Source organism: Homo sapiens, chromosome 19 (genome assembly GCF_000001405.40).
Source record: "Homo sapiens chromosome 19, GRCh38.p14 Primary Assembly".
Classification (NCBI taxonomy): Eukaryota; Metazoa; Chordata; class Mammalia; order Primates; family Hominidae; genus Homo; species Homo sapiens.
The window spans coordinates 2037393-2056384 of record NC_000019.10 but is presented as its reverse complement, the minus strand read 5'-3'; the positions used below and the strand labels follow the sequence as shown (position 1 = coordinate 2056384).

Here is an 18992-nt window from a genome sequence, read left to right as displayed (position 1 = left end):
CCCCAGGCCCTGCCTGTCCCACCCACCCACGTCCGGGCCGGCTAGTGCCCACCCTCACTGCCCCAGCCCAGACCACACTGCAGGAGGATCAAGGAGACGGTCACCCGGGGCACGGACCAGGCTTCCTGCCTCCCACCAGGCAGGCTTTTTCCCCCACCAAGGCAGGTGGGGGTCTCCCTCCCAGGGCTCCAGCTGGGGGTGGAGGTGGGGGCAGGGGGCGAGGCTGGCAGGGGTGGCCAGCCTGGTAGCGCCCCCAGGGGCTGGCACGGCCCAAAGCAGGGCAGGGCCAGGCACGGCCCACAGCAGGGCAGGGCCAGGCACGGCCCACACAGGCAGGTGGGCGACCCTCCCCTTCTCCGGAGGCCACTGGCCATCCCGCGCCCCCAGCCTGGGCCTGTCTGCCTGTCCAGGGCTGGTCTAGGGAGAAGGTCGGCTAGAGAGGATTCTGCCTCTGTTGGGGAGGAAAGGAGAGGAGAGGGTGCCAAGGCCCCATCCCTGTTGGCATAGCCCCTAGCACACAGAACAATCCCGCCCAAACGTCCACACTGTTGAGGCTGACAAACCCCTTGTCGATTATTTGGAAAATATTGAGTTTTCTCCCTGCTCACACCAGACATCGGATAAACGCCCCATGGGGCAGACAGCGTAAACCAGGGGGAACCCCACTGCTGGGATTCACCTCCTTTCTCTCTCCCTGCTCAGGGTGTGGACTTCAATGTGTGCAGCCTCCCAGGACCTCACCAGGTCAGAGCATCACGGGATGCAGAGTTTCTTGGGAGGGTCCGTGAAATCCCCTAAACCAGGGGGTCTCACCCCAGGGGAGATCCTGTCCCCAGGGGACACTGGGCAACACGTGGGGATATCTGTGGTTGTCACGACTAAGGGGAGACAACAGTCTCAAAATTCTAACTCAGTCAGGCGCGGTGGCTCGTGCCTGTAATCCCAGCACTTTGGGAGGCCGAGGCGGGTGGATCACAAGGTCAGGAGTTCGAGACCCGCCTGGCCAAGATGGTGAAACCCCGTCTCTACGAAAAATACAAAAATTAGCCAGGCGTGGTGGCACGTGCCTGTAGTCCCAGCTACTCAGGAGGCTGAGGCAGGAGAATCGCTTGAACCCAGGAGGCAGAGGTTGCAGTGAGCCGAGATCGCACCACTGCACTCCAGCCTAGGCGACAGAGCGAGACTTCCTCTCAAAAAAAAAAAAAAAAAAAAAATTCTAACTCAGTCCTGCCTGCAGAATCCCTTTCACCTAGGAAGTTCCCTTGGCCATGCCCCTTCCAGGATCTGCATCCCAAAAGACGCCCCCAGAAAGAAACGAAGGGCTTGTTGGGGAACAGATCAGCTGGGACCAGGGCACAGGGCACCAGGCTCCCTGTGTCCCTCTGAGAGCCATCTGGGTGTCTTCTGGGCTCCACCCTGGGGTAATAGGAGGAGGAGGAGAGGAAGCCAGGTGACCGGCTGAGTGCTGGCAGGGAGTGGGTGGAGGCCAGGGACGCTGCTCAGCTCCCTGCAGTGCCCAGGGCGGCCCCACCCCAGAGGATGACTGAGCCTTGAACGTCCACAGGGCGATGGGGAGGAACCCCCGGTGGAGCATCCCTAGAGCCAGGGGTCATCTGCCTGTCTCTGAGCTTCCTCAGTTTTCCCAATTGCTGCGCGAGTTTCTTTTTTTTTGTTGAGACGGAGTCTCGCTCTGTTGCCCAGGCTGGAGTGCAGTGGCGCGATCTCAGTTCACTGAAAGCTCTGCCTCCCGGGTTCATGCCAGTCTCCTGCCTCAGCCTCCCGAGTAGCTGGGACTATAGGCGCCCGCCACCACGCCCGGCTGATTTTTGTATTTTTAGTAGAGACGGGGTTTCACCGTGTTAGCCAGGATGGTCTCGATCTCCTGACCTCGTGATCCGCCTGCCTCGGCCTCCCAAAGTGCTGGGATTACAGGCGAGAGCCACCGCGCCCGGCCATTTTTTTTGTATTTTTAGTAGAGACGGGGTTTCACCATGTTGGTCAGACTGATCTCGAACTCCTGACCTTGTGATTGGCCCGCCTCGGCCTCCCATAGTGCTGGGATTATAGACGTGTGGCACCGCGCCCGGCCCGCATGAGGCTCTTGATGGCTCCCACCTGCTGGGGCTGTGGGAGAGGACAGGACCTGGGGCAGGGCCTGGCTATGGTGCCGGGAACAGACCTGCCCCTCTGGCCTGGCTCCCAGATCAGCCTTTCCTGTCTGGTGCCTGAGCTTGGCTGGACACAGAGCCCAGGCATGGGCTGAGCCTTGGTTCAGGTCTGCTCCTCATGGTCAGGGTGAATGTTGAACCCATGTCGGTCCACACTGAAAGATGGACACAGCCCCACACCTGCACCAAGGACAGTGTGCCACAGCCGCATACCACGAAATGGTCCCACTTACTCTGTGGACTGAGCTGAGTCTCCCGGAAAAACCCATCCATGTCCTAACCCTGGTACCTGTGAACGAGAAACTATTTGAAAATAGGGTCTTTGCAGATGGAACCAAGTTAAGATGAGATCACACTGAGTGGGCCCTAAGCCAATGACTGGCGTCCTTAGAAGAAGAGGAGACCGGGCGCGGTGGCTCACGCCTGTAATCCCGGCACTTTGGGAGGCCCAGGTGGGCGAATCACCTGAGGTCAGGAGTTCAAGACTAGCCTGGCCAACATGGTGAAACCCTGTCTCTACTAAAAATACACACAAAGAAGTTAGCTGGGCGTGGTGGCGCGTACCTGTAGTCCCAGCTATTTGGGAGGCTGAGGCAGGAGAATTGCTTGAACCTGGGAGGCAGAGGTTGTGATGAGCCGAGATCGTGCCGTTGCACTCCAGCCTGGGGAACAAGAGGAAACTCCATCTCAAAAAAAAATAAAAAATAAAAAGAGGAGACAGCAGGCTCAGTGGCTCATATCTGTAATTCCAGCACTTTGAAAAGCCAAGGTGGGAGGGTCCCTTGAGGTCAGGAATTCTAGTGCAGCTTGGGCAACATAGTGAGACCCCATCTCTACAAAATGTTTAAAAATCAGCAGGCAAGGTGCTGTTGTCCCATCTACTCAGGAGGCTGGGATAGGAGGATCGCTTGAGCCCAGGAAGTTGAGGCTGCCGTGAGCTATGAATGTGTCCCTGCACTCCAGCTTGGGCGACAGAGTGAGACCCTGTCTCAAAAAATAGTAAAATAGGCCGGGTGCAGTGGCTCACGCCTGTAATCCCAGCACTTTGGGAGGCCAAGGCGGGTGGATCATGAGGTCAGGAGTTCAAAACCAGCCTGGCCAACATGGTGAAACCCCATCTCTACTAAAAATACAAAAAACTATCCGGGTGTGGTGGTGCGCGCCTGTATTCCCAGCTACTTAGGAGGCTGAGGCAGAAGAATCACTTGAACCCGGGAGGCGAAGGTTGCAGTGAGCTGAGATTGTGCCACCGTACTCCAGCCTGGGTGACAGAATGAGACTCCATCTCAAAAAAAAAAAAAAAAAAAAAGGAAAATAAAATAAGAAGAGGAGACACACACACAGAGGAGGAGGCAGAGACTGGAGTGATGCGGCCACAAACCGAGGACCACCAGAGCCCCCAGAAGCTGGCAGAGGCAGGAAGCATCCTCCTAGAGCACTTGGAGGAAGCAAAGCTCTGCCCACACTTCTAGACTTCTGGGCTCCAGGACTGTGAGAGCACACATTTCTGTTGTTTTAAGCCCCCCAGTTTGTGGTCCTGCATTACAGTGGCCCCAGGAAGCTCACACGACCACACAACCCCTACGTGCGCGTGTGCGCGTGCACACACACACACACTCTTATCCTTTCCTCCAAGCACTATTTACTAGGCGCCCTCTGTGAGCCAGGCCCAGGCAAGCAGGTCTAGCAGCTCCACCCCTAGTTGGCACCTGGAGCTAACGTGTGTTTGTGCGTGTATGTGTTCACACGCACACACACGCACCCACATGCACAATAAGGGGGGCTGGGGGACCTGGTTTTCTGTCCCCCCATTGCCAAGAGTCAGGGCAATGCCAGGTGCTGGGCTGGGTTCTGGCTGGGAATTCCCCACAGGCTTCCCCCCAATGCCCCGGGGGTGGCTGAGGCCAGGCCTCCCAGCCCCTGTGGCCTGAGAGCTGTGGCCTTGCAGGCAGGGGCCCTCCAGCTTCAGGTCAGTGGGGCTCCAGCCCCTCTTGAGCTCAGGGCCTGGTTGGGGGATGGTGGGATGGGCTGTGCGAAGCTTCTGGAAACCCCTGCAGAAGAGGAGACCACAGTCCACCCAGCAGGGGAACCCCCACTCCTTGTGTGCCCCAGGCCCGGGGCCTGGGGAGCACTTTGAACCAGGATGCTGTGGGATGGGGGACTGGCAGCTCAGGACAGGCTGATTCTATCTAAGCCTGGTTTGGGGCCCCAGCCAAAATGGGACTGTGTTTTACTTCCTGTCCTGGCGACCATCCACCCCTTGGGCTCTTTCCCAGTGGGTCTCAGGTCCCAGTTCTCCCTGAAATGCTATTCGAGGACAGAGGAAGGGTCCTTCACAGACCTCGGTCCCCACCCTCTACTCTGGTTCCTGCCAACCACAAAGCAAACTCGGGGAGCTCAGTGCTCCCCAGGCAGGGTGGCCCAGGGGAAGAAGAAAGTAGGTGGCGGTGGCTGGTCCCCCAGCACTAGAAGGGAGTGGCTGGGACTCCAAGCGTGCTGGTGGTGCACGAGGGGGACTGCTGGAGCCAGCACTGGAGAACTGCAAGAGGGAGCCATGGCAGGTTCTAGAGCGAGGGCATGAACCAAGGGAGTCGGGGTATACTAGGCCTGGGTTGACAGGCCAAGGGAGTTGCCCTGTGTGGGGCCAGGCGGTAGGACACGGCCCAGGGCCTCGCAGGTCCCACGGGCCCCGCGAGCCTCAGGCGGCAAAAACAGGCCAGCTCCGGGCGCGCCGCAGGGTCGCTGCCTAGGTTCCGCACCGAGACCCCCGTGCGCCGCACTGCGCAGGCGTGCGCTAGCCGTTTCGGACACGCCCCACCGCCGGAGCGCGCAGCCGCACTGGGTTCCCGGAGAGCGCCCTCTTCTGGCTCCGCCCACGTCGTGCGCAGGGGGTGAGGCCGGGCGGAGCCTGCGTCGGGGGCGGGGCCAGAGCAGGTCCGGGCCTATAAAGGTGGCGGCGGCGGCGACGCGCCCGGCTCCTCTCAGCGGCGGTGGCCCAGGTAGAGGGGTCCGCGCTGGCGGCGGCGGCGGCGCTGTTCCCCGCGCGGTCCGCGGAGCGGGGTCCGGGCTGCGCGACGTGGGGCGGCGGCGGCACTGCGGCCCCGGCCCAAGCCCGACCCCGGTGAGTGCGAACCCCAGGGCGGCCCCGAGGACACCGACCCGGTAGCGGGAAACGGGCCCCGCGGAGCCCTCGCCGCCCCCGCCCGGTCCGCGCTCCTGGCAGGCCGGGCTCCGCTCACCGCCCTCCCTTTGTCTGCTCCCGCCCGCAGGGTCCCCTCCTCGGCCGCCCCCCGCCCGGCCGCCCGCCCTCGGGCCTCCCCCCGGGCCCTCGGTCCCCTCCCCCGCTGGCGGGGCCCGGACAGAAGATGGTGCAGAAGAAACCAGCCGAACTTCAGGGTTTCCACCGTTCGTTCAAGGTGAGGCCCGGGGTCGGTTTGGGGGCGCTCCGGGCTGGACCACCGGAATGGCCGGCGTGGGGGGCGCGGGGCCCGCCCCTAAGATCGGCTCCCGGGGCTCGTGCCTGGCCCCCGCCCTACACCCGGGGCTGCCCGGGCCGGCCGTGCGCTGAAGCGGGGTCGGTGTGCGAGGATGGGGGTTCAGCAGGCCACAGTCCTCTCTCCAGCCATGGCCGCCGGGTCCTTCCTCCAGGACCCCCAAGTGAGGCTGGGAGCAGGAGCCCCCTCCGGGTCAGGGCACCAGGCTGTGTGTCCCCTGCAAGCCCCCGCCGGGTATGTTCTGGGGGGTCAGCAGGCTGCAGTCCTGTCCCAGTCGCTGCATGTGGCTTATGGGGGGTGTCCCCTGCAAGCTCCAGCTGGTTGTGCCCTGGTGGGGACGGGTCAGCGGGCCACAGTCCCATTCCCACCTCCATGTGGCTTCTGGGGACTTTCTTTCAGAATCCCCAGGCCGGGCTGGTCAGGTGCACCCACCCCCAGGGGGCCTGTGCCGTGGGGGAGGGGATGGGATGTCCCCTCAGCCCTGCACTTCGCAGACACCCCAGGCCCAAGTGCTGTTTCCTGTCGGAGCGGGAAGTTTCTGCGCAGCCCGGGTGGTGACTGCTGTTGAGTGCTGGTTTCAGATGAGCAAATCTTGGGGGGGAAGGGGAGGGCAGGTGCTGGGCAGGGGCCCCGCAGGACCTGGCCCAGGGGACGCAGTGATGTCAGCCGGCCCGCCCCACCCCTCAGGCCGGGGTTATGTAATCGCTTCACTGGGCTTCCTTGGGCAGGGACCTGTTGCCCGGTAGGGAAGGCAGGACTGGAGAGAGGAAGAGAGAGTGTGAGTGTATGTGTGTGTGTTTGTGTGTGTGTGTGTCTCTGTCTTGTGTGTACACACAACGCGGTGCTCCAGGGTGGGAGGAGCAAAGAGAGACTGGGAAGAATTCCCAGGTCTGTCCAGCCAGTGCCCCAGGGCAGCACTCCACCCCTGCCACCCCTGCCCAGTTTTCCCCTAGGGCAGCAGGCCTGGCACCATCAGAGTGTCAGGGGCTGGGCGGGAAAGAGGAGGACCTGACAGTGGTCTTCTCCCTCCTAGGGCCAGGCATGAGCTGATACAGAGTCAGTGCATGGGGCCAGCCAGGCAGCTAAAGCACACTTGAACTTTCTAGATGGTTCCAGCCACCTCCTGCCAAGGCCTGCTGACTCGAGTCCCACAGCCAGACCTAGAACAGTGGGACCAGGACCGCCCACACTGCCCAGGATTGTGGGCCGGCCTCTGTGCATGGCCAGGGCAGCCTGGCTGGGAGCTGGGAAGGTGGGCGTCTTGGTGGAGGAGGGCCTGGCAGGCAGTCCTGGCTGTGAGGTGTTCCTCCAGGTGGCCGGGACCGGTTGCTCTAGGAATCTCCCCCCACAGCCCCCACCATGCACGGCTGCTCCCTGGATTGGGGCCACCTCTCCTGAAATACTCTCCTTGCCTCCAGCAGGCAGCAGCCCAGCAGGGAGGCACGTCTGTGGGTGCCTTGGGTTTCTTTCCGTTCGCAGATGGGAAAGTGAGGCTCTGAGACTGCAGGCGCGTGTGCCTGGGGCTCCCCTGTACACGGGCGAGGAGGCCGCGGAGTCTCGTGGTGCCTGGCCCCTCCGCTGTGGTGGCTGCGGCCGTCCATCTGTAGCTTTGCTGAGTTGGAGGCTGTGGCTGGCACAGGGGAACGGTGGCCAGACAGGGCCAGGAGCTCACGCTGGGCTCTGTGGCCCCTTAGGTCATTTCACTCTCGTGAGCTCCCACGAGTTGGGGGCAGCTGCCTCCCGTCTCACCGCTGACAGACCCCAGGGTGAGGTCACTAGGCCAAGGTCAGACAGCAGGTGAACTCCAGTCTGGCCTTAGACCCTGGTCACCTGCCTTGTGGTGGCTGCCCCAGGGCCACCAGGGGCCTCTGGACAGGAGCCTTATGGGAATGCTGACTCCCATGGGGGCTAGTTGGAGCCCCCCCCTTCCTTCCCTCCTCCCCCAGCAGCCTCCTGGTAGCTATCTGCCCGAGCCAGGGTGGGTGGGGAGGCAGGAGGGCAGCTTGGCTCACGGCCCCTCCCAGACTCTGCCCTCTGGCCTCCACCCATCTCCTGGCCTTGGGTCTCCCACGGGCTCCACTGGAGTCTCACTTCTGCTGAACGACCCTCTTGTTAGAGCCCCACTCAGGTTGTCTGGGGCCCAGAGAGGGGCAGTGACTTGGCCCAGAGCAGCCAGCATCCTCACTGGGACTGGGACCCCCGCCACCTCTGTGGGCCCCTCCCGCCTGGGTTCACCCAGACGGGTGAAGCTGAGTGAGAGCTCAGTGGTACAAGGAACCTGACCGGGCCTCGGTTCCCCAGCTTCAAAGGCCCGGCCCCTCGTAAAGGGCCGGCAGTCCCTGCGCTGGGCCATTTGCTCTGTGGAAACGTACATATGTATGCCACCATCTTCCACGGGGGCTGGGCAAAGCCTACTCTAATCTGCACTGTTCCTTGCACCCTGGTCAGGGTCTTGCTCCCATGGTCCTGGGGCTGGGTCAAGAAATGACCCAGCCCCAGCCTGCCCAGTGCAACAGGCCTGGATTTGAATCCTGGCCCCCAGGGCCCAAGGCGGCTTCCTTAGCCGGGTATCAGGGCCCACCAGGGGCTCCCTCCAGGGGTGTCTGGCACTGAAATGGGAGAGTGCAGGATGTGGTCTGGGCAGGGCCTGGCACACTCGCGCCTGTGGGTGCCTCTCCCGTGAGCCCCCAGGACCAGTACAGCACTGTGTATACTGACTCGGTAACTGGTAGCTGCGGGGTTGGGGGGCTGGAAGCAGATGAGCCTCTGGTGGGTGGCGGGGGCGTAGGTGCACAGAGCTGGCAGGGGAAAGGTGTGCCGGGCAGCTGCGGGACATGGGCGGAGGAATGCAGGTGTCTGGGCTTGGGTAGGGGCAGAAGGCAGGGGTGATGGAAGCAGAGCCCCCACCTTCAGCAGGCCCCAGAGCACCAGGCACTGAATTCTTACCCCGCCAGCCCCAGGCACTGAGCGAAAGGGAGGGGAGCAGCTTAGGGGAAGGAGAGGTGGTTGTGTGCCATCTTAGATGGGGGAAACTGAGGCCCAGGGAGGACTCAGCTGCCCTGAGATGGCCCAGGAGGCCGTGGGAAAGCAGGCACAGCCACCAGGCTGGCAGCCCGCCTAGTGACTCACCTCCTTCCCACTGCCCCGCTGCCTTTGATCCCCGCGACCCGCCCCAGAGGTCAGCCGTCCCCATTCTGTGGACAAGCAGACGGAGGTGCAAGACACGGCTTGGGCCCCACGGTGACTCAATCCTGGCATCAGAGGCAGGGTTCCCAAGAGCCAGCTGCTTGTGTCTGTCCCCTCCCCGCAATGCACCCCTTTCCCAGAGGCCCCCAGGGCTCTGCAGGTGGGAGGAGGTCTTCCCCACGGCCCTGTGGAGGTTGGGGCCCATCTTTCTCTGGGGTGGGGCTGTCCTGGGCACTGCAGGGTGCTGAGCAGCACCCCTGCCCCACCCCACTCCGTGCCAGGAGCTCCCCCAACCGGTCACAACCACAGATGTCCCCAGACATGGCCCAGTGTCTCCTGGGGGACAGAATCACCCCCTGGGTTGGCAAATTCCATGGACCCCCTAAGAGACTCTGCGTCCCCTGATCTTGCCTTGCTGAGGTGCTAGGAGGCCTCACGCCTTCCACATGTGGCCCACACCTGTGATCCCAGCACTTTGGGAGGCCAAGGCAGGAGGATCGCTTGAGGCCAGGGGTTTAAGACCAGCCTGGGCAACGTAGCAAGACTTTATCTCTACAAAACATAAATTTAAAAAAGAGAGAAATCCACACACACACTGAGTGTGGGGCAGCGAGGAGGTGAATCCCAGGAGCTTGGGGGTCCCCTGGTTTATGCTGTCTGCCCCTTCGGGAGTTGATCCTGGTGGGAGTTGATCCTGGTGTGTGAGCGGGGACGGAGTTGATTTTTCCGTAATGCTCAGCGCAGGGCTTGTCAGTGTGGACGCTGCGACACTGGGGCAGGATAGGTCTCCCTGCTGCGTGGGCAGGGATGGGGCCTGAGTGCCTCTCCTCTCCTCTCCCCTGCAGGGGCAGAACCCCTTCGAGCTGGCCTTCTCCCTAGACCAGCCCGACCACGGAGACTCTGACTTTGGCCTGCAGTGCTCAGCCCGCCCTGGTGAGGGGCCCGAGGGGGAGGAGGGCACAGGGCAGCTGCTGTCGCTGCCATGGCAGTGGCCAGCCCCTGCAGGGGGGTGGGGGCCGGCCGGCCAGGGCCATGTCCTGAGCCCCCTGGGCGTGCCTCCTGGAACAGACATGCCCGCCAGCCAGCCCATTGACATCCCGGACGCCAAGAAGAGGGGCAAGAAGAAGAAGCGCGGCCGGGCCACCGACAGCTTCTCGGGCAGGTTTGAAGGTGAGCGGGGATGGCGGGCATTGGGGGAGCCGGGAGCGGGGAAAAGCCAGGGTCCCTCTCACGCCCGCCCCGCTGCCCGGCAGACGTCTACCAGCTGCAGGAAGATGTGCTGGGGGAGGGCGCTCATGCCCGAGTGCAGACCTGCATCAACCTGATCACCAGCCAGGAGTACGCCGTCAAGGTGGGCCCGCGCCGCGCCCTGGGGAACCCAGCGCCTTGGGATCGGTGTTGAGCGGGGGTGGAAACAGTGTGTGGCATTCCGGCTGTCCGTCCTACAGCCGGGAAGACCCGTGTCTAAAAGTGGCCACCGGGCCCTGAGTCCAGTCGGGAATGACAGTGAGGGTGGCCCCTCTGGTACCAGGGTGGGGGCTTCAGACAGAGGCACTGTGCCCATTGGGTCCCCTGGGCCGTCCCTGCCTCTGAGCTGTCCCTGAGGGTACATGACAGTTTGGTTTCAAGGATCAAAATGCAATGTCATATCCCAGGGCCCAGAGGGGCTCTGCGTTTGGGGAACCTCAGTGCAGGCCCGTGAGAGCCCCCTGTGTCACTCTAGCCCTGGGCGGCTGCTGGACCCAGGGTGTGGCCGAAGGGCTGGGAGCAGGAGCCCTGTTGAGGCTCTGGTTGTGACCCTGTGACCTTGTGGGCCGGTTGGATCCCGTGTTCCAAGAAATCTTCCAGGCTTCCCTCGTGACCTGGCATCCGGCTCCCGGGCTGGGTGGGGTCCCAGGAGGGCTGGCTGCCTGGGAAAGAGGGCCAGGTGTGCCCTGGCGAGCAGGGCTCGCCAGGAGCCTGTGGGTCCTGGTGGACGGCCAGGCTAGAGCTTTCCTCTGAGGAGAAGGAGGAAGAAGAGGGGTGGCCAACCTGGGGAGGTTACTGGCTAGGTGCTGGGACCACAGTGGCAGCAGGCAGGGACAGACACAGTACGGACGGTCCCTGCCTCCTGGGAGCCCCCAGGCAGGCCAAGGCAATGGTGCAGGAGCACTAGGCCCCTCCGGAAGCACTTCCACACAGCAGGCGTTCCTCTGAGCACAGCCCTCTCCTGGTGGCCCAGCCTTGCTTCCTGTCTTTGTTTGACAGATAGGGACACTGAGGCTCAGGGGGTTAGGTAGCCTGACTCATGCTGTGTGGCCTCTGGGGGATCCTAACTGGTGTCTCAGAGCCACCTCCCTGGTCATCTTGCCACATTGACCTGGTGTGGTCAGTGTTGGGATCTGCAGAGCCTGGGGGACTTCCTGCTGGAGGTGTTGTTGGCCACTGACGTCCGGGAGTTGGTCTGGCCAGGTGGCAGTGGGAGGAGGAGGTGTCCTGGGCGAGTCAGAGAGGCGAATCGCTGGGCCTGTGGGTCTGAGGAGCGTTGTTTCGTTCTATGGGGACTGGGGTGTGGGCCCTCTGCCCTCGGGGTCATGCTGCGGGAAGCCACCCTGGGGTCACCTGGTGCCGTGAGGCTGCTGGCTGGATGCAGAGCCCCCATGCTGGGACCTCAGAATAGGCCCCTTCCATGCCAGGAGGGGCTGCGCCCCCTCCCTGAAGCAGCATTCTAGCCAGCCACCCAAGGGACAGGACGAGGTTCAGTTTTGTCCAGAACCATCTGCAGTGCCTGCTGGGCACAGCTTTCAGCAGCGGCCTGGGTGGTGGTATTTCAGGACACCCTGGCGTCCAGTTGTTCTCTTGCCCCTCGCTGGGACAGTGTTGTCTGTCAGTATAGACATGGGACTGCAGAGGCAGGAGCCAGGGACTCAAGGGTGGAATGCCACATCCCTGCTGCCACCAGGCCATCGCACTGGGCAGGGAACCCTGGGCAGAGTGCTCATGCAGCCAGGCACCCGCCCAGTGAGAGGGGCTAACATGTCCAGCCTGGCAGGAGGGTCCCAGCAGGTGCCAGGGGAAGCTGCAGACGCCTCCTCACCCCACCTCTGTGAGTGAAGGTGGCAGGGAGCAGCTGGAGCTGCTGGGGGCAGTAGAGTGGCTTCCTGAGGCTCTGGGGCTCAGGGAGGCTGGATCCGCCAGTGGCTGGGACAGCCAACCAGGGTGGGCCCGAAACAGATATTGGCTGAGGCGGCAGGCAAGTGTCTGCCCAGGCTGGCACGGAGCTGGGGAGCAGGACTTGGTGCTGTGGCCACATGTGAGGTGGGGCCTGGTGGGCTGGCAGCCAGGTGTCCTGAGGCCTCCCTAGTTCTATGGGTGACCAGGTACCCACCCTGTGGGGAAAGAGGACTACAGCTGACTGTCTCTGGGTCAGGGAGGGTGGCCGCCCAGGGCAGGGAACCCTCACGTCCTGTGGGGGTATTTTGCAGAAGTCATAGGTCTCAAATGTGTCTCTGAGGGCTGTCAGGGTCACAGGTGGAGAGCAGCCTCCACTGGCTTTTTTTTTTTTTTTTTTTTTTTTTTTTTGAGGCGAAGTCTCACTCTGTCACCAGGATGCTGGAGTGCAATGGCGCGATCTCAGCTCCCTGCAACCTCCACCTCCCGGGTTCAAGTGATTCTCCTGCCTCAGCCTCACAAGTAGTTGGGATTACAGGCGTGTACCACCACACCCAGCTAATTTTTATATTTTCAGTAGAGACAGGGTTTTGCCATGTTGGCCAGGATGGTCTCAATCTCCTGACCTCATGATCCACCCGCCTTGGCCTCCCAAAGTGCTGGGATGACAGGCGTGAGCCCTGCTTTCTAGAGTTGCAGGGCGTTAAGTGTGGTGAATTCCAGCCGTGGCAGTGGAGTTTCTGGCCCCTTCTCGACTATGAGCGTCCCACCAACCCAGGTGCTGTGTCCTTTCGCCTGTTTCAGATCATTGAGAAGCAGCCAGGCCACATTCGGAGCAGGGTTTTCAGGGAGGTGGAGATGCTGTACCAGTGCCAGGGACACAGGTAGGTGAGCCACCCTTGCCACCGCACTGGCCTGAGCTGTCTTTCAGTGGATGAAGGGCCTGAGTGCCACATCACCCCCAGCAAGCGTCTGTAGGGCACCCAGTTTCCCAGGCCCTGCATTCCCCTCCCTGAAGCAGGCTGGCTGACAGCCCCAGGCGGGCAGTGTGAAGCTGGCCTATTGCCCCAGTCCCAGCTTCCGGTGGACAGGCCAGCACCAAGAGGGTGGGCCCCTCCTAGGCCGGGCAGCAGGTACCCAGGGGCCTCAGGAAGCCTCAGCTCCTCTCCTGCCCCCACCCCCACCCCAGGAACGTCCTAGAGCTGATTGAGTTCTTCGAGGAGGAGGACCGCTTCTACCTGGTGTTTGAGAAGATGCGGGGAGGTACCTGGGGGCTCCAGGCTGTGAGGAGGGAGGGAGCTGGGAGGTATTACGGGATGGGGGCCTAGTGCCACCTGCAGGAGGGGGCTTGTGGGGTGAGTGTCCTGCCCAAATGGTGGCTCAGGGGTGAGGCCTTTGTGCTGGAGGAAGCCAGTGTGGGGGCGTCCCCGCCAAAGTGGAGGTGGGTGCTGGCCTTGAGGGGACTTTGAGGTGACCTGCGTGTTCCCCCTGTCCTGCCCTGCCCTGCCCTGCCCAGGCTCCATCCTGAGCCACATCCACAAGCGCCGGCACTTCAACGAGCTGGAGGCCAGCGTGGTGGTGCAGGACGTGGCCAGCGCCTTGGACTTTCTGCATAACAAAGGTAGGTGGTGACCCCGCCCGGAGTCTCCTAGGGCCGCCTGCCAAGGACTCCTGGAAGACCTCCAGACCCTCACCCCGTCGTGGTTCTGTGGCTTCTCCCCCAGGCATCGCCCACAGGGACCTAAAGCCGGAAAACATCCTCTGTGAGCACCCCAACCAGGTAGGCCAGTTCCGGCAGGGTGGCCCCGCGGGAGGGGTGGACCGCGTGGGACCCCAGGCTCACGGACCTTTTGGCCCCTCCCAGGTCTCCCCCGTGAAGATCTGTGACTTCGACCTGGGCAGCGGCATCAAACTCAACGGGGACTGCTCCCCTATCTCCACCCCGGAGCTGCTCACTCCGGTGAGGGCCCGCGGGGAGGGCTGGGGGCTCGGCCGCCTGCTCTGCGGTTGCATAACCTCGCGGAGCCTGGGCCATCCAGCAGCTCCAGGCCGCGGAGCTCGGGCTTCCGCCTAGCAACAGCCGCTGATTGGTTGGGCGGGGTGTCGCGGCGGGGCCTCGAGCAGGCGCCCCAACGCGTCGGTGTTTGGCCGGGTGGGGCGGGGCCGCGGCGGGGGAGGGGCGAGCTCTGCACCTGCTGATTGGGCGGGGGCGCGTTCCCGGCAGCCGCTGATTGGTCGGGCCCGGCGGGGCGGGGTCCGAGCCGGCTGGCGCAGGTGACCCGCAGTTACCCGGGCTCGGTTCCCACGTAATGCTGGGAAACCCCGGCTGACGCGCCCCTCCCCCGCCCGCAGTGCGGCTCGGCGGAGTACATGGCCCCGGAGGTAGTGGAGGCCTTCAGCGAGGAGGCTAGCATCTACGACAAGCGCTGCGACCTGTGGAGCCTGGGCGTCATCTTGTATATCCTACTCAGCGGCTACCCGCCCTTCGTGGGCCGCTGTGGCAGCGACTGCGGCTGGGACCGCGGCGAGGCCTGCCCTGCCTGCCAGGTGCGGCGGCCCGCGCACCCTCCTCTCCTGGGCACCCTCCTCCCCCGGGCCTGCCCTGAACACCCCCTAACCCCAGGGGACCTGCCCTGCGCACCCTCTAAGTCCAGGGGACCTGCCCCCTGACCACCCCCTAACCCTCGGGGACCTGCCCTGTGTGCTCCCCAGACCCCCGGGGACCTACTCTGTACTCCCCCTAACCCCTGGGGACCTGCCCGGTGTGCCCTACTCCCTGATGCCATCCACAGGGCAGTGCCGCCCTGTCTGCCAGTTTCCCGAAGGCTTTTCAGGTTTGCCTGCCCAAGGGAAACCCCAGACAGGGTTCAGAGAGCTGAGAGGTGGAGTGAGGCCCCTGGTTTGGGGGGATCAGGCTCAGGCTCCCTGCCCGCGGCTTAAGGCTCAGCATCTGTGGCCTGTGGTCCCTGGAACCAGGTCCCTCAGAGCTGCTTTTTTGTAAATCCAGCTCCACTTGGGTGGAGCTGACTCTCCTGGTCCGGCTCCCAGCCCCCTCTGCCCCAGGCGTGCGTGGTCTAGGGCCTGGTCTAGGGCCTGGTTGGGGTCCGGTTGGAGCCACGTGTCAGTGCACAGTATCCAGGCCCTTGGGCAGGTCTAAGCTCCCCTGTGTTCTATGTCCCCAGAACATGCTGTTTGAGAGCATCCAGGAGGGCAAGTACGAGTTCCCCGACAAGGACTGGGCCCACATCTCCTGCGCTGCCAAAGACCTCATCTCCAAGCTGCTGGTCCGTGACGCCAAGCAGAGGCTGAGTGCCGCCCAAGTCCTGCAGCACCCCTGGGTTCAGGGGGTGAGTACCAGCCGCACGGGCGGCAGGAGGGGTATGGGGGCGCTGCAGGGTGGCCTCAGAGCGAGCATGGGAAGCCCTGAGGGTGTAGCCTGGACACCCTGAGATGCACTGAGGCTTGAGAGCACAGGCTCTGCCCTGGGATGAGGGGTGCAGCCGAAATCCCCACCGCCCGCCTGTGCACGGTGCCCGCTGGCCAGCCAGGCGGCTCCCAGGAGCAGCTACTCAGAGAACCTTCCTGGAGGGTGGTGGGGACCCACAGCCTGCAGCAGGCTGGAGCGAAGCGGGCAGCGAGCCCAGCTCACATAGACCCCAGCCTAGCCTGCCGTCAGTCTCAAGCCCAGGCTGTGCCTCCACCCTTCCCTGTGTGGCCTCCAGTCGAGGAGGAGTCGGGTGTTTCTCCTGCCAGAGGTCATCTGAGCTGAGCTGCCACCCCAGGGAGTGAGGATTTACTAAAAATAGAAGCTGGGGTCACTCTGTGTCCCCAGGCGAGGGGCTGGGGGCCTCCAATCTCCTTGCAGAAGCATCCAGAGACCCATGGGTTAAGAGGGGGGCGGAGGTGGGTTTGGGCTGGGAACAGCCGGGAGAGATGGGGCTTGGGGCTCTGCCCCCACCCTCACTGGGTCCTGTAACACCAGGCCTCAGCCTGGCCCAGCCTCGGGTTCCCTGGGCAGGGGGACATGGAGCCTCACCATAGGGACCTCGGGGTGGGCGCTTGGCTCCCGGGGCACCCAGGTGCACTCCTGGTCTCCGGTGGGGTCCTGGTGATGGGATGGGCATGGCATCCCTTGGCCAGACACCCCACCCAGCGCCCCAGGCGGCCCCAGCTGCTCTCCAGCCCTGCCCCCGCCCACTCTCGTTGCAGTGCGCCCCGGAGAACACCTTGCCCACTCCCATGGTCCTGCAGAGGTAAGGCCCGCAGGGGTGCTCGGGACCCCTGAGTCCAGGGGGCGGGGTTTCCAGGTTAAGACATTTGTGAAAGACCCGGAGAACTGCTTTGGGGTCGGGGAGGCAGGCAAGCCTGGTGACTCAGTGAAGCTCCCGGTGGGGCCCTGGTGCTCAGAGGAGCCCCAGGGTGGGGGCTGGGAGGGGGGCATGAAGCCCCTTCCCCCAGGGCCTTCACAGACCCCAGGGGTCCCCTGAGGGGTGCCTCTTGGTGACCACCTACCCCCACCCCGTTTCCCAGGAACAGCTGTGCCAAAGACCTCACGTCCTTCGCGGCTGAGGCCATTGCCATGAACCGGCAGCTGGCCCAGCACGACGAGGACCTGGCTGAGGAGGAGGCCGCGGGGCAGGGCCAGCCCGTCCTGGTCCGAGCTACCTCACGCTGCCTGCAGCTGTCTCCACCCTCCCAGTCCAAGCTGGCGCAGCGGCGGCAAAGGGCCAGTCTGTCCTCGGCCCCAGTGGTCCTGGTGGGAGACCACGCCTGACCCTCCCATCTCCCCTCTGTACATAGGTCACCCGTCCCCCAATCAAATCTAAAGGTTTTTTAAGCTATCGCCAGCCGGTGTCCAGCGGGCTGCCCCTCCTCTGCCTGGATTCCCAGGCACTAAGCTCAGCTGAGGGGGGTGTTTTATAGAAGGTTTTTGCTTTTGGGTTTTTTTTTTCCTGTTTCCACCCCTCCCCGTTATTTTTTCCTTTGGATGGTTAAAAGCATTGCAGGCACCCGGGAAGGTGAGCAGAGGGTAGGTGGGTGGGCTTGTCCCCTCCCCGGTCCCCCGCCCTGCTCACCTCTACTATGAAGGTGCCCCCAGGTCACCTGTGCTGCCCGCCATCTGCCCACGTGGCTTGCAGTGACTCAGGAGAGCAGGCCCACAGCGTTTGCCATCTTGCAGAGCTGGGGAGGGGCACAGGACCCTGCCCTCGTGTTCCCTCCCAGCCCGCAGTATTTCAGGGACAGGCTCTTCCCCTCTATCCCTCACCCTGAGAGCACCCCTGGTGGCTTGGTTGGGGAAGGGAGGGGCTGCCTGTCTCTGGAGGTGTCAGGCAGGCAGGTGGCAGGCAGCTCACCCACCCACCCCATGGGATCCCCCAGCCCTTCACCCGCGCCTGCCTTGTCCCCATGATAGTTGACAATCGGGGCTTCCTGCAAGGCCCGTCTGTCTGTCCAGGACTCCTGGTGGCCAGATTCGGCCTCCGACCTTGACCTTAAACTGCAGCTGACCCCAGGGGCTCGCCGCTGCCCCTCCCCTCCACACCAAGGCCTGAGACAGCAGGAGCCCCGCCTGGCCCGAAGCCGTTTCCACCGCAGCAGGCAGAGGGGCTGGACAGGCACTGTCAGCCAATGTGGGGGGTCCTGAAGACACCCCCTTGGGGCACCCGAGTGCCCCTTCTCAGGGCTCAGTCTGACCGTAGCCACGTCCTGCCTCGCGCCGCCCCTCGGGCCTGACCTGGAAGCTCCGTCAGCTCCGTCCTTGTCCTTAGAGCTGAGCCCAGACCCCGGGGTCTGGCCGAATCCTCACCCCCAGGGCAGTGTTTTTGGTCTGCCACCTTCAGGAAAACGGCTGCGGCCTCGGCCTCCCTTCGGGCACCCAGGAATGCGGGGGTCTGCTCAGTCCCCCCACCCTCCATGCTCCAACCCCCGGGGGCTGCGGAGCCTGCTGCCCCCTCCCCGCGGGTGGGGACGTTCTATGCAATACAGGGTTCCACTTTAGAAGTGCGCGCGGCTAGGGTCACCGCCCGCCCTTCCCGGCGCAGCCCCCGAGCTCCACAGCTGGGGCAGCCCCTCTGGCTTCTAAATCCGCGGTCGGGATTCTTCCTCCTGTTTAGTTTTTTAGTTTTTCCTTAAAAAAAAACAACACATCGATGGACTTTGCTTCCCTGTTCTTGAAGAATACTTGAATGTCGGGGGGCCTGGGGGTGGGGGCCTCGGAGACCGTCTGCCTGGCCCTGCTGCCCCTCCTGAATCTCGTATGATGGTCACAGTCCGGTGGCCGTGGGGGTGCTCTGCCTTCCCTGGTCCCCACTGCCCATATCTGTGGACTGCCCCTTCCAAAGACCCCTGGGGGGGGTGGGGCATTCCGCCCACCCCTTTCCCCCATCACTTCTCGCCTGTCAGTGATTCCATGTTTCGTAACGGGGGATTCTCTGCCTTTTTGTATCAAAGAACAAGCAAATGGACCCCCGCCCGCTGCAGGCGCCCATAGCCATCGGGTCTCTAAAGCTGAGTGGCTAGCAGCGTTTGTTTGTTTGTTTTTTTTTTTTTTTCTGAAGGTGGGACAGTCACTTCCTCCTCCCTCCCCACCCCTGTCGCATCCACGTGCGACCTGGAGGACTGGTCAGAACCGTTACTGTGAATGAGTGAAGATCCTGGAGGACCCTGGGCCCCAGGCCAGCTCCCATCGCTGGGGGACGGTGAACGGCCATGTGTTAATGTTACGATGTTTTTAAAAGACAAAAAAAAAAAAAAAACCTCAAAAGTTTTTTTAAAGTGGGGGAAAAACATCCAAGCACTTTAATTCCAATGTACCAGGTGAACTGACGGAGCTCAGAAGTTTTCCTTTACACCAACTGTCAATGCCGGAATTTTGTATTCTGTTTTGTAAAGATTTAATAAAAGTCAAAAAACTTGCTGTGTGCCTGAGTTTTAGTTTTCTGTCACCGCATAAGGAGCCATCCACAACCAGTTGGTGCAAAACCACGTTGTTGCT

At 62.9% G+C, this 18992-nt stretch overlaps 1 protein-coding gene across 2 annotated transcripts, besides 13 other annotated features; it reads left to right on the top strand.

Annotated features, from left to right (window-relative positions):
• Positions 205 to 374: a silencer, noted in NCBI's record as "silent region_9762". NCBI's record gives its function as "represses an Ori minimal core promoter by ATAC-STARR-seq in GM12878 lymphoblastoid cells {active_cell/tissue: GM12878}" and the evidence as "EXISTENCE:reporter gene assay evidence [ECO:0000049][PMID:35858748]".
• Positions 1475 to 1554: an enhancer, noted in NCBI's record as "active region_13641". NCBI's record gives its function as "activates an Ori minimal core promoter by ATAC-STARR-seq in GM12878 lymphoblastoid cells {active_cell/tissue: GM12878}" and the evidence as "EXISTENCE:reporter gene assay evidence [ECO:0000049][PMID:35858748]".
• Positions 2744 to 2968: a silencer, noted in NCBI's record as "fragment chr19:2053416-2053640 (GRCh37/hg19 assembly coordinates)". NCBI's record gives its function as "represses an EF-1alpha promoter that drives an FKBP-Casp9 reporter gene in an ReSE screen in K562 erythroleukemia cells {active_cell/tissue: K562}" and the evidence as "EXISTENCE:reporter gene assay evidence [ECO:0000049][PMID:32094911]".
• Positions 4967 to 5506: a silencer, noted in NCBI's record as "silent region_9761". NCBI's record gives its function as "represses an Ori minimal core promoter by ATAC-STARR-seq in GM12878 lymphoblastoid cells {active_cell/tissue: GM12878}" and the evidence as "EXISTENCE:reporter gene assay evidence [ECO:0000049][PMID:35858748]".
• Positions 5141 to 18914, top strand: MKNK2 (MAPK interacting serine/threonine kinase 2). Of its 2 annotated transcripts, none has more exons than NM_017572.4 (14): positions 5141 to 5289; positions 5438 to 5584; positions 9694 to 9781; positions 9917 to 10018; positions 10102 to 10199; positions 12803 to 12882; positions 13188 to 13261; positions 13515 to 13619; positions 13723 to 13778; positions 13863 to 13958; positions 14351 to 14545; positions 15181 to 15345; positions 16208 to 16251; positions 18556 to 18914. In NM_017572.4, exons 2-14 carry the CDS (start codon positions 5534 to 5536, stop codon positions 18644 to 18646), a joined length of 1245 nt encoding a protein of 414 aa, NP_060042.2. In that variant the 5' UTR covers positions 5141 to 5289; positions 5438 to 5533; the 3' UTR covers positions 18647 to 18914. The 2 variants fall into 2 exon arrangements, with proteins under 2 accessions (NP_060042.2, NP_951009.1); NM_199054.3 differs by having other exon boundaries at positions 16529 to 18914.
• Positions 5997 to 6056: an enhancer, noted in NCBI's record as "active region_13640". NCBI's record gives its function as "activates an Ori minimal core promoter by ATAC-STARR-seq in GM12878 lymphoblastoid cells {active_cell/tissue: GM12878}" and the evidence as "EXISTENCE:reporter gene assay evidence [ECO:0000049][PMID:35858748]".
• Positions 6233 to 6889: an enhancer, noted in NCBI's record as "H3K27ac-H3K4me1 hESC enhancer chr19:2049495-2050151 (GRCh37/hg19 assembly coordinates)". NCBI's record gives its function as "activates a minimal SCP1, AML or CMV promoter by ChIP-STARR-seq in naive H9 embryonic stem cells {active_cell/tissue: H9 hESC(naive)}" and the evidence as "EXISTENCE:reporter gene assay evidence [ECO:0000049][PMID:30033119]".
• Positions 6237 to 6426: a silencer, noted in NCBI's record as "silent region_9760". NCBI's record gives its function as "represses an Ori minimal core promoter by ATAC-STARR-seq in GM12878 lymphoblastoid cells {active_cell/tissue: GM12878}" and the evidence as "EXISTENCE:reporter gene assay evidence [ECO:0000049][PMID:35858748]".
• Positions 7547 to 8203: an enhancer, noted in NCBI's record as "H3K27ac-H3K4me1 hESC enhancer chr19:2048181-2048837 (GRCh37/hg19 assembly coordinates)". NCBI's record gives its function as "activates a minimal SCP1, AML or CMV promoter by ChIP-STARR-seq in primed H9 embryonic stem cells {active_cell/tissue: H9 hESC(primed)}" and the evidence as "EXISTENCE:reporter gene assay evidence [ECO:0000049][PMID:30033119]".
• Positions 8204 to 8861: an enhancer, noted in NCBI's record as "H3K4me1 hESC enhancer chr19:2047523-2048180 (GRCh37/hg19 assembly coordinates)". NCBI's record gives its function as "activates a minimal SCP1, AML or CMV promoter by ChIP-STARR-seq in primed H9 embryonic stem cells {active_cell/tissue: H9 hESC(primed)}" and the evidence as "EXISTENCE:reporter gene assay evidence [ECO:0000049][PMID:30033119]".
• Positions 9365 to 9865: an enhancer, noted in NCBI's record as "H3K4me1 hESC enhancer chr19:2046519-2047019 (GRCh37/hg19 assembly coordinates)". NCBI's record gives its function as "activates a minimal SCP1, AML or CMV promoter by ChIP-STARR-seq in primed H9 embryonic stem cells {active_cell/tissue: H9 hESC(primed)}" and the evidence as "EXISTENCE:reporter gene assay evidence [ECO:0000049][PMID:30033119]".
• Positions 13948 to 14417: a silencer, noted in NCBI's record as "silent region_9759". NCBI's record gives its function as "represses an Ori minimal core promoter by ATAC-STARR-seq in GM12878 lymphoblastoid cells {active_cell/tissue: GM12878}" and the evidence as "EXISTENCE:reporter gene assay evidence [ECO:0000049][PMID:35858748]".
• Positions 17912 to 18686: an enhancer, noted in NCBI's record as "H3K4me1 hESC enhancer chr19:2037698-2038472 (GRCh37/hg19 assembly coordinates)". NCBI's record gives its function as "activates a minimal SCP1, AML or CMV promoter by ChIP-STARR-seq in naive and primed H9 embryonic stem cells {active_cell/tissue: H9 hESC(naive and primed)}" and the evidence as "EXISTENCE:reporter gene assay evidence [ECO:0000049][PMID:30033119]".
• Positions 18288 to 18357: an enhancer, noted in NCBI's record as "active region_13639". NCBI's record gives its function as "activates an Ori minimal core promoter by ATAC-STARR-seq in GM12878 lymphoblastoid cells {active_cell/tissue: GM12878}" and the evidence as "EXISTENCE:reporter gene assay evidence [ECO:0000049][PMID:35858748]".

Excerpts from the sequence above, each read along its gene's own strand:
- MKNK2 (NM_199054.3), top strand. The coding sequence starts at position 5,534 with ATGGTGCAGAAGAAACCAGCCGAACTTCAGGGTTTCCACCGTTCGTTC. Across the intron at positions 13,620-13,722 it reads GGACTTTCTGCATAACAAAG|GCATCGCCCACAGGGACCTA; the intron begins GTAGGTGGTGAC and ends CTTCTCCCCCAG. Across the intron at positions 15,346-16,207 it reads AGCACCCCTGGGTTCAGGGG|TGCGCCCCGGAGAACACCTT; the intron begins GTGAGTACCAGC and ends CTCTCGTTGCAG.